General features: G+C 42.4%; 1 long non-coding RNA gene across 1 annotated transcript, besides 2 other annotated features; it reads left to right on the forward strand.

The window, feature by feature from the left end:
- The first annotated feature begins 9,391 nt into the window (after positions 1-9,391).
- SALRNA3 (senescence associated long non-coding RNA 3) lies at positions 9,392-10,412 on the forward strand. Its single transcript, NR_126481.1, has one exon. It is a non-coding gene; the product is annotated as a senescence associated long non-coding RNA 3 (long non-coding RNA).
- Positions 11,065-11,209: an enhancer, noted in NCBI's record as "145 bp enhancer 168 fragment used in the MPRA reporter construct; PK_construct_1254". NCBI's record gives its function as "activates an SV40 promoter by MPRA in HepG2 cells {active_cell/tissue: HepG2}" and the evidence as "EXISTENCE:reporter gene assay evidence [ECO:0000049][PMID:23512712]".
- Positions 11,131-11,142: a transcriptional cis regulatory region, noted in NCBI's record as "FOXA motif; enhancer activity is reduced when this motif is scrambled". NCBI's record gives its function as "necessary for full MPRA enhancer 168 activity {active_cell/tissue: HepG2}" and the evidence as "EXISTENCE:site-directed mutagenesis evidence [ECO:0005528][PMID:23512712]".

Raw genomic sequence — 14,045 nt, forward strand, 5'->3', positions numbered from 1 at the left:
GTTTGCAATGATCAGCCCCAGAGTTTTGTCCAGCCTTTGGCTGACAGTGTGTTTCTCAGCAGAGAGACAAGCTGTTGGGATGTTTTTCTGACCTCCCAGAGAGCTGAACATCCTGATGCCCTAGGGACTGGCAGGCTCCCCAGGGAGGTGTCCAGATCCTAAAGAAAGACTGGAAGGGTGGGTGCAGACTGCAGGCTAGATTTGAAGGCTTCTCTCTGATCTTCCTTAGCCCTTGGTGGCTGCTTAGATATAGGGACTTGAGAAGGCAGCCTCCAGCCCTGCCTGCAGGAAACCTTCAATCTGATTTTATAATCTCAGGGTGACCTATATTTGAGCTTCTGAACCCAACCTCAAAATGAAATCCAGATGCCATGCCAAGTGCTTCTGCCTGGTCATTTAGAGTGGACAGCGCTTCAGGTTAAATCAGACTTGTGGGCTGTCCATCAGCGTGAAAAAGGGCTGATGTTTACTATGGTGGCCAGAAATAGGGACATTTCTCCCATTGCCCTTGGATATAGCTCATTCAGGTGGGCACAGGTGGCCTGGCTGGTGGCTGCCCCACTTCCCAAAGCCTGGATCTTGAGCCGCTATCTGGAACACAGCACACTCAGCTCCAGATCAACCACCCAAGCCCTCTGGTGAGCATCAAGCTCTGAGGCCCTTTGATATTTAGAGATCAGTTGCGCGGGGCGACTGAGAAGAACTGGACTCTGAGAAAGGGTGAAAATTGAAAGAATGTGGTGCTGGCGAATCTGTGCCTCGCTCCTTTCCATTCCCACCTCCTTGCCATGTGCCTCACTGCCCACTAGAAGCCAGGAAGCTAAAGAATATCTCTATGTGACACTTCTCTAGCTCAGATGTGCACCAGACCTAGCTTTCTCCCAGCAGGTGCAGATTTGGAGGCTGGGACATGCATGGGTCTACTGCACCTCCTGGCAAGCACAGCCATGGGGGCATTTGGTTTTTCAGCAGAGGGTCCCAGAGAGTCTCTGGCTCTGTGAGTGGAGCCTCAGAGAGGCTGGGGTGGAGCCTTGGCTGAGTTGGCAGGGTCTGCAGCAGGGCAGCATGGACCTGGAGCCAGAAGTTGTAGTGAGGCATCCCAAGCACAGCAGAGGCAGTAGCGCCTGAGGTGGGCCAGTTCCTCTGTGTTATTCTAGCAGGCATTTATGCTGGGTCATATGTGGAGAGTGACAGCCATCCGATGTACCTCCAATTCCTTCCAATCTTTTTTTTTTTTTTTTTTTTTTTTTTTTTGAGACAGGGTCTCACTCTGTTGCCCAGGCTGGAGTGCAGTGGCACGATCTCAGCTCACTGAAACTCCCAGGTTCAAGTGATACTCCTGCCTCAGCCTCCCAAGTAGCTGGGACTACAGGCACCTGTTACCATGCCTGGCTAATTTTTGTATTTTTTTAGTAGAGACAGGGTTTCACCATGTTGGCCAAGCTGGTCTCGAACTCCTGACCTCAGGTGATTCATCCACCTCGACCTCCCAAACTTCTAATCCTTTTATAAAAGCTAGACTTCCTCTTTGAAATCCCTTTCAGCCTGAGTTAGCTAGGGTGGATTCTGTTGTCTGCAATTAATCCCCAAATGAATCAGAAGTAAAGGGAAGAAAGCATTTCATAAAGGAGTAGCCACTCTGTCAAACACTGCAGAGACTTTAAGAGGAGCATAGGAAAGCATCTTGGATTTGTCAGCATGAAAGTTATTGGTAACCCTGATGTGCAGGATTTCCGTAGGAGGCTGGAGAGTGAATGGGAAGTGAGCAAGATGAGACAACCACTGGAGAAAACTCTTCTGAGAAGGGTTGCTGAGATGCAGAATAGAAAATGATGCAACAGCTAGAGGAAAATGTGGGCTCAAGGAAGAGTTTTTTCAATATGGGAGACTTTGGAGCATTTCACCTGCTGAAGGGATGCTGCAGAAAGAGAGGGAGATAAATAATGCAAGGAAAAGGGGATATCAAAGGAGAAAAGTCTTTAACCGCAAGGAAATAGGATCCAGAGTGAGTGGAAGGGCAGGTCGTTAAAAAAAAGAAAGAAACTTCTCCATGGTAACAACCTCTTGGCATTCAAAAGATAGAGCACAGACCAGCTGGGCTGAGGGCTTGCGTAGGGAGCTGAGAGGGAGAAGGAAGAAGAAATAAGAGGAAGCCAAATTGTAAAGAGCCTTGGATGTCAAACCAAGGAATTTAGACCTCCTCCTGCAGACACTGGTCTTTGGAAACAAATGCTTTCGGCCAGAGGATGACGTAAGAACAAATATCCAAGGGAGACCCAAACCAAGTCCACAGGAAAGAAAACCATCACCAGCCTAACTGACCTGGTGTATTGCCAGTGTGTGGGCTGGCATCAGGACAGGGGTCGAGTTTTGGATTAAGGAAAGGGCAGCATGATGAAAAGAGCTCCAGCTTTGGATTCAGATAAATCTGGGTTCAAATCCCAGTGCTATTAAGCTGTGAAACTTGGGGAAAATTATTCAACTTTTCTGCACCTCTTCTGTAAAATGTGAAGAATTCCTCCTGGAATGAATGTTGTAAAGATTAAATGAGATTACATACCTGGTCTAGTAAATGCTTAATGAATAGTAGCTACTGAATCTGAATTCCTGGAAAAGGCACCTGGGGTCTACATTTTTAACACCCTCTATGAGGTGACTCCACTGTTAGGCTGTGGGGCCTACACAAAAAAGAAAAGCCCAGAAAAACTTGTCTTGGGCTTTTCTCATGACTTGGTAGATAGTAGGTGGTCAGTAAGTATTTGTTGAGTAATTAGATAAATAGATAAACAAATAATAAATAGAATATATATAGATAGAACTGGCTGTAAAAATTTATAGTCTCAATTTGGAACATTAAAATTTAGAATGTTGGTCCAGTGTGGTGGCTCACGCCTGTAATCCCAGCACTTTGGGAGGCCAAGGCGGGCAGATCACAAGGTCAGGAGTTCGAGACCAGCCTGATCAACATGGTGAAACCCCGTCTCTACTAAAAGTACAAAAATTAGCCAGGCGTGGTGGTGTTTGCCAGTAATCCCAGCTACTCAGGAGCCTTAGGCAGGAGAATCGCTTGAACCTGGAAAGCGGAGGTTGCAGTGAGCCGAGATCGTGCCACTGCACTCCAGCCTGGGTGACAGAGTGAGACTGCGAGACTCTGTCTCAAAAAAAAAAAAAAATTAAAATGTTAGTCTGGCATGGTGGCTCATGCCTGTAATCCCAGCACTTTGAGAGGCCAAGGCAGGTGGATCACTTGAGGTCAGGAGTTCAAGACCAGCCTTGCCAATGTGGTGAAACCCCATCTCTACTAAAAATACAAAAATTAGCCAGGCGTGGTGGCACACACCTGTAATCTTAACTACTCGAGAGGCTGAGGCAGGAGGATTGCTTGAACCCGGGAGGTGGAGGTTGCAGTGAGCCGAGAAGGTGCCTCTGCACTTGAGCCTGGGTGACAGAGCAAGCCTCCATCTCAGGAAAAAAAAATAATAACAATAATCAGGCTCTTAAGGGCTTGGAGGCCAGATTGTGCCTCCTCCAGTTTCATCTCTTTGGGCAATTGGTAGATTTCCCCTGGCAGCCAAGCCTCCCTCTAGGAGGGCCCTGATGGCTGCAGGGGACTGTTGTTTTCACTTTTCAGTGAACATGACATTTTGAACCCAAAGCTGGAATATTAACAAAGTCTGCATACAGACTGGAGATCAAAATGACCTGAAATTCAGGCTCAATCTGGAACAGTAATTGTTCCTGCAGTTATTTTCTGCTGACTGCTTCACAGTGTCAAAGAATCTTAAGGAGGGTGGGGATACCTTTCAGATGAGCTCAAACTAGTTGGATTCCTCTGAGGCCTGGGATAAAGTTTCAAAATATTTTTCAAATTGTGTTTGCCTGCAGCAGTTCAGTGTGATAACAATTATCATATGTGTTGGAATCCTAGCAAGTCCATAAACGGGCTCTGTGACCTTGGGCAAGCTGCTTTAATCCCTCCAGACATCAGTGTTCTCATCTGTAAACTGGGTCAGGCGTGACGCCTGCTCTGGGAGAAGTGTGAGAAATACGAGAAACGGCGTCGAATCCCTTGCCGGGGCCCTGACACGCGGTAGCTGCTCTGTCCATGCTAGTGTCACCCTCCCACCCTGACCTTCTTCCCAGGAGCCTAGAGGGGTCAGGACAGGTTCTTCTCAGAAGATGCCCACCACTCAGAAAAGTTCTCTTGCCAAAGTTTTGTCCCTACATAAATTCAGCAAGGAAAGACTCCTCTGATGCTCAGAAGAGCAACCCTTTCTGTATCCTCACCTTGGGTAAGAGTAAGTTCAATATCAGCCCCTTGCTTTACAGGAAGAGAGACAAAGGCATTGTAATTTAAGTTCCTTTTAGGGCTACAAGATAACAATCAACATTTGCAAAAAGCACTGACATATTAATTTTTTAACCTTCAGGGATTATCTTTTCCTACAGTAAATGAACTACACAGTAAGTGTATTTTCTATACACAGAATTTCTACACAGTAAGTGAACTCATTTATTTTTCTTCCCTGAAAAGGCCTCTTATCCTTGGAATGAAGAATGCAATGCAATTCCCTTCTAACCCATCTCATTCCAGGATCCCCTTGGGGACATACCTCCGCACACACTGCTCAGACCCCACTAGCATCCATCCAAACAGTGCGTGTTCTTTTTTAGGATACAGTTGTACTTTTGTCTTAAGAAATAGAAGTACCAGGATTCCTGAAAATGTTTTTTTAGACCATGCATAAAATCTCATATGTGCTGAACCACTGGATTTCCCAGCCCCCACATGCCCCCACATGCAAAAATATACCCTCATTAGACTGTCCTGTGCCCCCAGTTCCTCCACTATGGATCTAATCCTTTGGGTTAAGCATGCTTTTTTATTTGGCTCCTGGGGAGCTGGGGAGTCCTAGCTGCTAATGGCAAGGTAGTAGGAGTAAATCCCTACTCATAGATGTACCAGTGCCACACATATAATTCCATGTATTTTTCTCAATTCAGGCCAATTCCAGTCCCTGGAGTCCTGAATCCTTCCAGAGAGTCCCTCCCTTCTGGAGCTTCCTGCCTGTCTCTCTGAGGTCATGCTGAAGTTCTGGTTTCTAACAACACTTGGGGTAGGAAGTGGACTCCAACTGATAGGTGTCTACCTCATTTGCCTAATTCACTCCCCTAGTGAAAGGCCCTTCACGTCCTCCCTAAGGTAAGCAACGCTATGATGGACATCTTAGCACATGTAACCTCCTGAGGCTGTCTGGCAATCAAGAGCAGATGACTAGGTCCTAGGATACATGAATACCCAGTTTGACTGCATACTGTTAGACTGTGCTCTAAGACCACTAGCATGATAAGGGCTCCCGGCTCCTCAGTCTCAAGAACATTCGGCATTGCATGGCTTTCCAATGTTTGTCAACCTGATGGGAATAATGTGCAGCTCATTTTGGTTTTAGTTTTTCCTTTCTGAGATTGTCTGTGACATTGGGCATCCCTTTATGTGCTTATAACCAGTTAGGTTTCCTCTGCTGTGAATTGCCTGTTCATGTCCTTTGCACACTTTTCTATACTGTTCTTCATCTTTTTATTGTTGATGTTCAAAAGTCACTTATATATTCTGTACATGACTTTATTGCTATTTTCTCCAACTTTTGATTTTGAAAAATTTCAAACTAACAAAAAAGTTATATAGATATTATAACAGGTTTACCTATTATTAATATTTTTCCACACATTTTATTTTTTGAGATGGAGTCTCACTCTGTCGCCCAGGCTGGAGTGCAGTGCCATGATCTCAGCTCACTGCAACCTTCGCCTCTTGGGTTCAAACGATTCTCCTGCCTCAGCCTCCCATGTAGCTGTGATTACAGGCATGGGCCACTGTGCCCCGCTAATTTTTGTACTTTTAGTAGAGATGGGGCTTCACCATGTCGGCCAGGCTGGTCTCGAACTCCTGACCTCAAGTGATCCACCCGCCTCGGCCTCCCAAAGTGCTGGGATTATAAGCATGAGCCACCGCACCTGGACTCCACACGTTTTATATCACTTTCTATACCATAGCTATAGATATATAACACACACACATCACACACACATATATACATACTATATATATATATATATATAGTATATATATACACACACTATATATATACACACTATATATAGTATATATATATATACACACTATATATATAGTATATATATATACACACTATATATATACACACTCTACATATATATATATATATATATATAGTGTGTATATATATAGTGTGTATATATATTTTTTTTGTTTAATGTAATCCAGCCCCCAGCTGACTGCAATCCTCTGGACCACATGATAAGTTGTGTTGTTTTGTTTTGTTTTGTTTTTTGTTTTTTAATTATGGTAAAAAATACATAACATAAAATTTGCCATCTTAACCATCTTAAATGTATAATAGTATTAAATATATTCACATTATTGTGAAAACATACAAATATATTCTGTTGAAATATTTAAAAATAAGTTGCTGAAATTTTGATACTTCGCCACTAAATAGTTCAGTGTAGATCTCCTAGGAACAAAGGCTTTCTCCTACATAAACCATAATAAAATTTCCTCACTGAATACATTTAACATTTATACAATACTAATGTCTAATTAAGAGCTTACATTCAATGTTATCCATTGGTCCCAATAATTTTTAACATTGTAAAAATTACCTCCCAACCTGTGACCTATTTTTTAATTTCATCTATGAACACCTTCAGGTAACAAAATGTTTAATTTTGCTGTCATCAAATATGTTCCTTTTTTCCCCTAAGGGCAGAGGTTTTGAGGGTCTTACATATGACGTTCTTGGTTATCCCTAAATAACAAAGATATTTTTCAACAATTTCTCCTTTTAGCTTTATAGTTTCACCTTTAAGTTTCACCCTTAAGTCTAAGGGTAAGAAGTAAGAATTCAATGTTTTCTTCATAGTGAACAAGTTTTTCCAATGCCATTTAATAACCAATCTGTTCTGTCCCAAGTTACGTGTGGCAGTCTCTTAACATTCCCACGTATATGGCCTGTTCTGGGACTTCCCATTCTTTCCATGTGTCTATCTGCCCATTTCTGCGCAGGAACCAGGCTATTTTCATTTCTGTGGCTTTGCCTTGTGTTTTCCTATCTTTCTGTCTGACACATCAGTGTTTCTCTTTTTGCTCTTATTTTTTAAACTTAATAGCTATTGGGAAACTTTTATTCATCTGTATAAATTCTAGGTTGTTTTAACATCTTCAGGCATTCTGCCCATGGCCAGCCATTGTAATAACCTAGATACACAGCTGCCCTGCTGGCCCTGACCTTTCTGCCTCACAGACTCCTAAATTCTATGTGGCAGAGTTACACGTGATGATTCTATTCCGGAAAATCCATTTCATGCCATACCACAAAAATCCCCAAGTTTCTCCTGAAAGTAAATAAAAGCAAGTACTTGCAAGGCACAGTGGCTCACATCTGTAATCACAGCACTTTGGGAGGCCAAGGTGGGCGGATCACCTGAGGTTGGGAGTTCAAGACCAGCCTGACCAACATGGAGAAATCCCATCTCTACTAAAAATACAAAATTAGCCGGGCGTGGTGGTGCATGCCTGTAATCTCAGCTACTCGGGAGGCAGAGGCAAGAGAATCACTGGAACCCAGGAGGTGGAGGTTGCAGTGAGCCGAGATTGCGCCATTCCACTCCAGCCTGGGCAACAAGAGCAAAACTCTGCCTCAAAAAATAAAAATAAAAATAAAAAAATAAAAATAAAAACAAGACTTTAAAGTGGCTGTGAATCTCAATTCACAAGTTCAGATATGTAAGAAAGAACAATTTTTTTCATATCCCAAAACTGAATTGAATTTCTTTTAGGAGCCCCTAGTCTGCTGGAGTAGCAGAAACACCATTTCAGTTAATTTAGGGACTCTTCCTACTTTCTCTGGGGTGAAATTTACAAAGGACTTGCAGAGAACCAAGGCTCCAATGGGAGGGGTGATCTTTTAAGTCCTCAATATCATCGAAGCGTGTCACTAACTTGTCCATTGTCCCATCTAGTCCTCAGTCAGTGGTCCTTAAAAGTCTCTCTGCTACTTCTGTTCCACTCTCAAGCTCCTGGCAATCATTCTGTTCTTGTGACATAAGAATTGAGAAATGCTGTGAGATCTCATCTGCCTAGATGCTCCATACAACTGAAGCCATCAGTTCTCTACGATCTTGCCACCCCTTGAAGCCCTACCAGGAAACACAGACATAGGTGCCCGTATTCTCAGATCCCGCAAATCTGTCAGGGCCTCACCAGGGCTCATTCTCTTCTCCCTGGGACCCAACAACAGCTACCTGTCTGTATTAGTCATGGTTCTCCAGAGAAACAGACTCAATAGGAGATAGACAGATAGATAGATAGATAGATAGATAGATAGATAGATAGATAGATAGATAGATAGACAGATAGATAGCTAGATAGATAATAGAAAGATAGATAGATGATTTCTTCTTTTTTTGAGATGGAATCTCACTCTGTCACCAGGCTGGAGTGCAGTGGCGCCATCTCGGCTCACTGCAATCTCTGCCTCCTGGGTTCAAGTGATTCTCCTGCCTCAGCCTCCTGAGTAGCTGGGATTACAGGTGTGCACCACCACACCCAGCTAATTTTTGTATTTTTAGTAGAGACAGGGTTTCACTATGTTGGCCAGGATGGTCTCAATCTCCTGACCTCATGATCCACCCACCTCAGCCTCCCAAAGTGCTGAGATTACAAGTGTGAGCCACCGTGCCTGGCCAAGAGATTTCTTATAAAGAACTGGCTCACATTCACACAATTATGGAGGCTGAGAAGTCCACAATCAGCAGGGAGGGCTGGAGATCCAGGAGAGCTGATGTTTCAGTTCAAGTCTAGAGGCAGTCTGCTGGAGAATCTTCTCTTGCTCAGGGGAAACGGGAATTTTTGTTCTATTCAGGCCTTCAACTGCTGGGAATAAGGCCCACCAACACTATGGAGGGCAATCTGCTTTATTCAAAGTCCGTCAATTTAAATGTGAATTTCATCCAACACACCCTCACAGAGACACTCAAGATAATCTTTGACCAAGTATCTGAGCACACTGTGGCCCAGCCAAGTTGACACAAAATTAACCATCACACTCTCCTTGATGAATGCTATATCAACCAGGATCCAGTCAGGCATTCCAACACAGAAGATTTATATTTTTACAGACGTAATTCACATACCCTGAAATTCACCCATGTAAGGGAGTTTTAGTATATTCAGAATGTTGTGAAGCCATCACCACTATCTAATTCCAAAACAGTTTCATCAACCCTCACCCCCTACAAAAAAACTCATACCTGTTAGCAGTCAACAAGGGGATTTAATATAGGGAATTGGCTGGATGGATAGCAAAGGACTGAAAGGAAGAAAAGGAACACCTGTTATCATGCAAACGTAGTAACTGCAGGAAACAGCCACCACTCCTAGGACTAGAGGAACAGAGGGAAAGGGCTGGGGCTATGAGAACCCAGAATCCTGGAGGACGCCCTCACAAAACTAGGACAAAGACTTCTCAGAAAAGGGTAACGGCCTGCTGGTATCGGTACCTCAAGAAACTCGAGGAGGGGGTTCACAGAGCTGGGACCTAGATCTCTCAGGAGGGGGCATGAGCTAAATGCGGCTGCAACACAAGAGCTCAGAGGGAAGGTCTAAGTTAGGACTTGGTCTTCTTAGGAGAGGGTGCTACCTGGATGCTGCTGGTAACTGATGGGGTGAGATGGGCTGATCGTGGGAACTTAGCAAAACGAAGGAAACTGGAACCAACTCCACTGCTGGGATAACGGTGACAGGAACAGCAAGCATGGGGAAGGAACATCTCTTCTCCATCTTCCTGTTGTCTGGTCTCCTTTTAGCATCCCCTATTATCAGGACCTAACAGGCAGCAGCTGGCAACAAGGAAATTGGGTTGCAAAGTCACAGCCTCACCATTGCAGAGCTGAGCACAGAAGAGTTATTAGGAGCTGGAGACAGTAGCTTTATAACACCATGCCTCCCTACTCTCTCCATCTAACCACAGCCCAGGGAGGGAACATTCTAATCTGGAGGGTTGGATGACAACCTATCTTGCTCTTTACTCATCTTGTTAGTCCATTCTCACACTGCTATGAAGAAATACCTGAGACTGGGTAATTTATAGAGGAAAGAGGTTTAATTGACTCACAGTTCTGCATAACTGGGAAGGCCTCAGGAAACTTACAATTACAGCAGAAGGGGAAGCAAACATATCCTTCACATGGCAGCAGGAGAGAGAAGTGCTGAGCAAAAGGGGAAAAGCCCCTCGTAAAACCATCAGATCTCATGAGAACTCACTCACTGTTATGAGAACAGCATGGGGGTAACTGCCCCCGTGATTCAATTACCTCCCACCAGGTCCCTCCCACAACATGTGGGGATTATGAGAGCTACAATTCAAGATGAGACTTGGGTGGGGACACAGCCAAACCATATCACCCATGATGTTTTCTTCCAAATAATTAGTCTCTGTTGCAAGTACTTTTGTAATATATCATCTTCCTGATCTAAGAGCCTATTAGCATGATTCCTAGAGACACCTGGGAAGCTAAGCTTGGTTCTAGCCCACAGCACTGGGTTTAGCCATACATGGAGACTGGGCTGTTTGGGCATGGGGAGGCAAAGGATGATAAAAGAGGATTGTCTTTGTGCTTCAGTGGATTGAATAGAATGGAATGTGGACTGTATGAAATATGTTCTCATATTCCATGTAATGAGACCCTGAGATTGATGAGGGGCATCTGGCTTATGTGAGGTGGTCCCCAACATATAATTACACTAACTGCCTGCAGGACTGCACCAGTTTTAAAGCTGGAAGTATCTTCCTAGATTAAGTAGGTAATGACAACAGCACCAGTTTTAGTAAATAGAGCTACACTCACCCTCAGCACATGCAGCTGGCACAAATGGAGCAGTCAAGCTTCTAAAGGTCTGATGTGAGCCCCACATGGACACTGTCATGCACAAGCATGAGCCAATCACGTGTGCACCTCTACCTGTCTCAAATAACATTGCTCTTCTCTCCAGCCTGTGTCCTGACTGCATGGCCCCTTCTGTTTACTTTAGATAAGTAAACACTGTTTGATTTAGCCACGGAATGTCTGTGTCTGGATTTTCCTTTAATCTAAGTCCACTATTGACATTTGTCAATACAGTATAGTGGTCGTGTGGTTTTTCCATTACCTGATGGGCTTAAGTTTTGAAATGTAAAAAGTTGGGGTGTGGGGGGATGTTGTTTTTTCTTTACATTTTCGCAATCATCTCCTCTGCAGAAGGAATCAGCACAGAATGCCCTAGTTGCTTCACAGTAGAAGATGGAATGGAGAAGAGACACATCCCAGTTGCTTTTTTACAGTTTTATTTTTTAATATTATATACATCAAGTTCACAAACAAAAATGTGCAGTTACATCATGAGCATCCATGTAGTCACCATCCAGGGCAAGAAACAGGACATCATCAGCCCTCCAGAAGTCCCTGGGTGCTTTGTTGCTAGCATCAATCTTCTCTGTACATGTAGCCACCCTGTTGACTGTGGGATCTGGACTGTGTCAACTTGGCTAAAATGGAATTAGGATTCCTGGAATTCCTGAGTTACTTGTAAAATAACTCAACTAGATTTGTTCCTTCCCTACTCCACCCCACTCCCACCACCTAATTTTTATTTTCTTTGCAAGATGGAAGGCAGAAGTGAACAGCAAGTTTTGTGTCATAAAGGCTGTCACAGTTAGATGTGGTGACAGACAGACACAGGTGTCCCTGTCCTTGTCCTCCCATGCTGCACATCCAGCTCTTCTTTCCGAGGCAGGCCACGCTGAACCAACAGTTTTCCCAGCTCACCACTGGATATTTGGCTGCCAATCCTCAGGTGTGGTAGCTATGCAGAGGCTCTAGTCTTCAACTGACTTCTTCCCTCCACCAGCCCTTCACAGTCCTACTCCAGCAGCCTCACGTGCCTGATTTCTGGATCTTCTAGAAAGCTCTGATGTGTTCACTCCACGACAAACAGACCTTCAGGTGGTTGTTTAGTAGCTTTTCTCTACCCTTGAACTCTTTTTTGAAGCTATACTTCCCCAGCTTCTCTCGTAACTGCATAGGGTCTATTTCCTCTAGTTAGAATGAATGTTGCATTCTACAATATTCACAGGGTTCCTCTTCCCTGATGGAACACTGACTGATACAAAGATTTTCACAATAATTACTTTCTTCTTTTTCTTTATAGTGTTATTATCAATGAGGCACGAGTTCATAAATACTGTAGTTTAGTTTTGCCTGTTTTTTTTAAGAATATATAAATTCTTACATATATTATTATATATTATTATATTATTATATACTATATATTATATAATTATATAATATATATAATTATATTATATAATATATAATATATAAATACATATTATATATTAATTATATATTCTAATTAATTATATAATTAATTAATTAATTATATAATTATATAATTAATTAATTAAATAAATAATTATATATTATATAATATATATTATAATATATAATATATAATATACATTACATATACTATATAATATATAATATACATTACATACACTATAATATATAATATACATTACATATATTATAATATATATATTATTTAGTATGTCTTATTTTGTGTCTAGCTTTATTTACTCAACTTTATGTTTGCAAGATTCATCCATGCTGTTGTTTGAATCTGTAGCTTATTCATTTTCTTTGCTGTGAGAACTTCTTTGTATGAATAACTCACACTTAATTTTTCATTCTATTGTTGATGAGCATTTGGGTTGTCCATTTGGACTATTATGAATAATGCTGCCCTAAACATTCTTGCACATGTCTCGGTACATCTATATATGCATTTTCGTTGTATATATATTTAAGGGCAGAACTGCTGAGTCATTGAGTATGTGTGTCTTTGTGTTTAGTAGATAAAAATCTAACTGTTTAAATGTCTTTTTACCAGTCTACATTCCAATCAACATCGCAATTAGTATTACCAACCTTTTCATTTTAGCCATCCTGTCTGGTGGATGCCTAGGTGGACACTCATTTGTGTCTTAAATTGCATTTCCCTGATAATGAGGTTGCATACATCTCCATATATTTATTAGCTATTTTGAAGTTTTTCCTGTTCATTTTTCCATTAGGTGTTTGTTTTGTTTTTTTCATTGATTTTGAATAATTCATAATATATTTTGAAAGTAAGTGAATGTATTTTAAATATGAGCCCATTTCTGTCTTAAGCATATAGTTTGATGAGTGCTGACATACATATAAATCAGTTGTTGAGGCTGGATGTGGTGGCTCATGCCTGTAATCCCAGCACTTTAGGAGGCCGAGGCAGGTGGATTACTTGAGGTCAGGAGTTCAAGACCAGCCTGGCCAACATAGTGAAACCCTGTCTCTAGTAAAAATACAAAAAAAAAAAAAAATTAGTGGGGCATGGTGGTGCACGCCTGTAATCCCAGCTACTTGGGAGGCTGAGGCAGGAGAATCACTTGAACCTGGGAGGCGGAGGTTGCAGTGAGTCGAGATCACACCACTGCACTCCAGCCTGGGCGACAGAGGGAGACTCCATCTCAATAAGTAAATAAATCAGTTGTTGAATAGTGTTGGAAGTTCTGACCAGGGCAATCAGGCAGGAGAAAGAAATAAAGGGTATTCAATTAGGAAAAGAGGAAGTCAAATTGTCCCTGTTTGCAGACGACATGATGGTATATTTAGAAAACCCCATCGTCTCAGCCCAAAATCTCCTTAAGCTGATAAGCAACTTCAGCAAAGTCTCAGGGTACAAAATCAATGTGCAAAAATCACAAGCATTCCTTTACACCAATAACAGACAAACAGAGAGCCAAATCATGAGTGAACTCCCATTCACAATTGCTTCAAAGAGAATAAAATACCTAGGAATCCAACTTACAAGGGATGTGAAGGACCTCTTCAAGGAGAACCACAAACCACTGCTCAATGAAATAAAA

This window comes from Homo sapiens, chromosome 15, assembly GCF_000001405.40.
Source record: "Homo sapiens chromosome 15, GRCh38.p14 Primary Assembly".
NCBI lineage: Eukaryota > Metazoa > Chordata > Mammalia > Primates > Hominidae > Homo > Homo sapiens.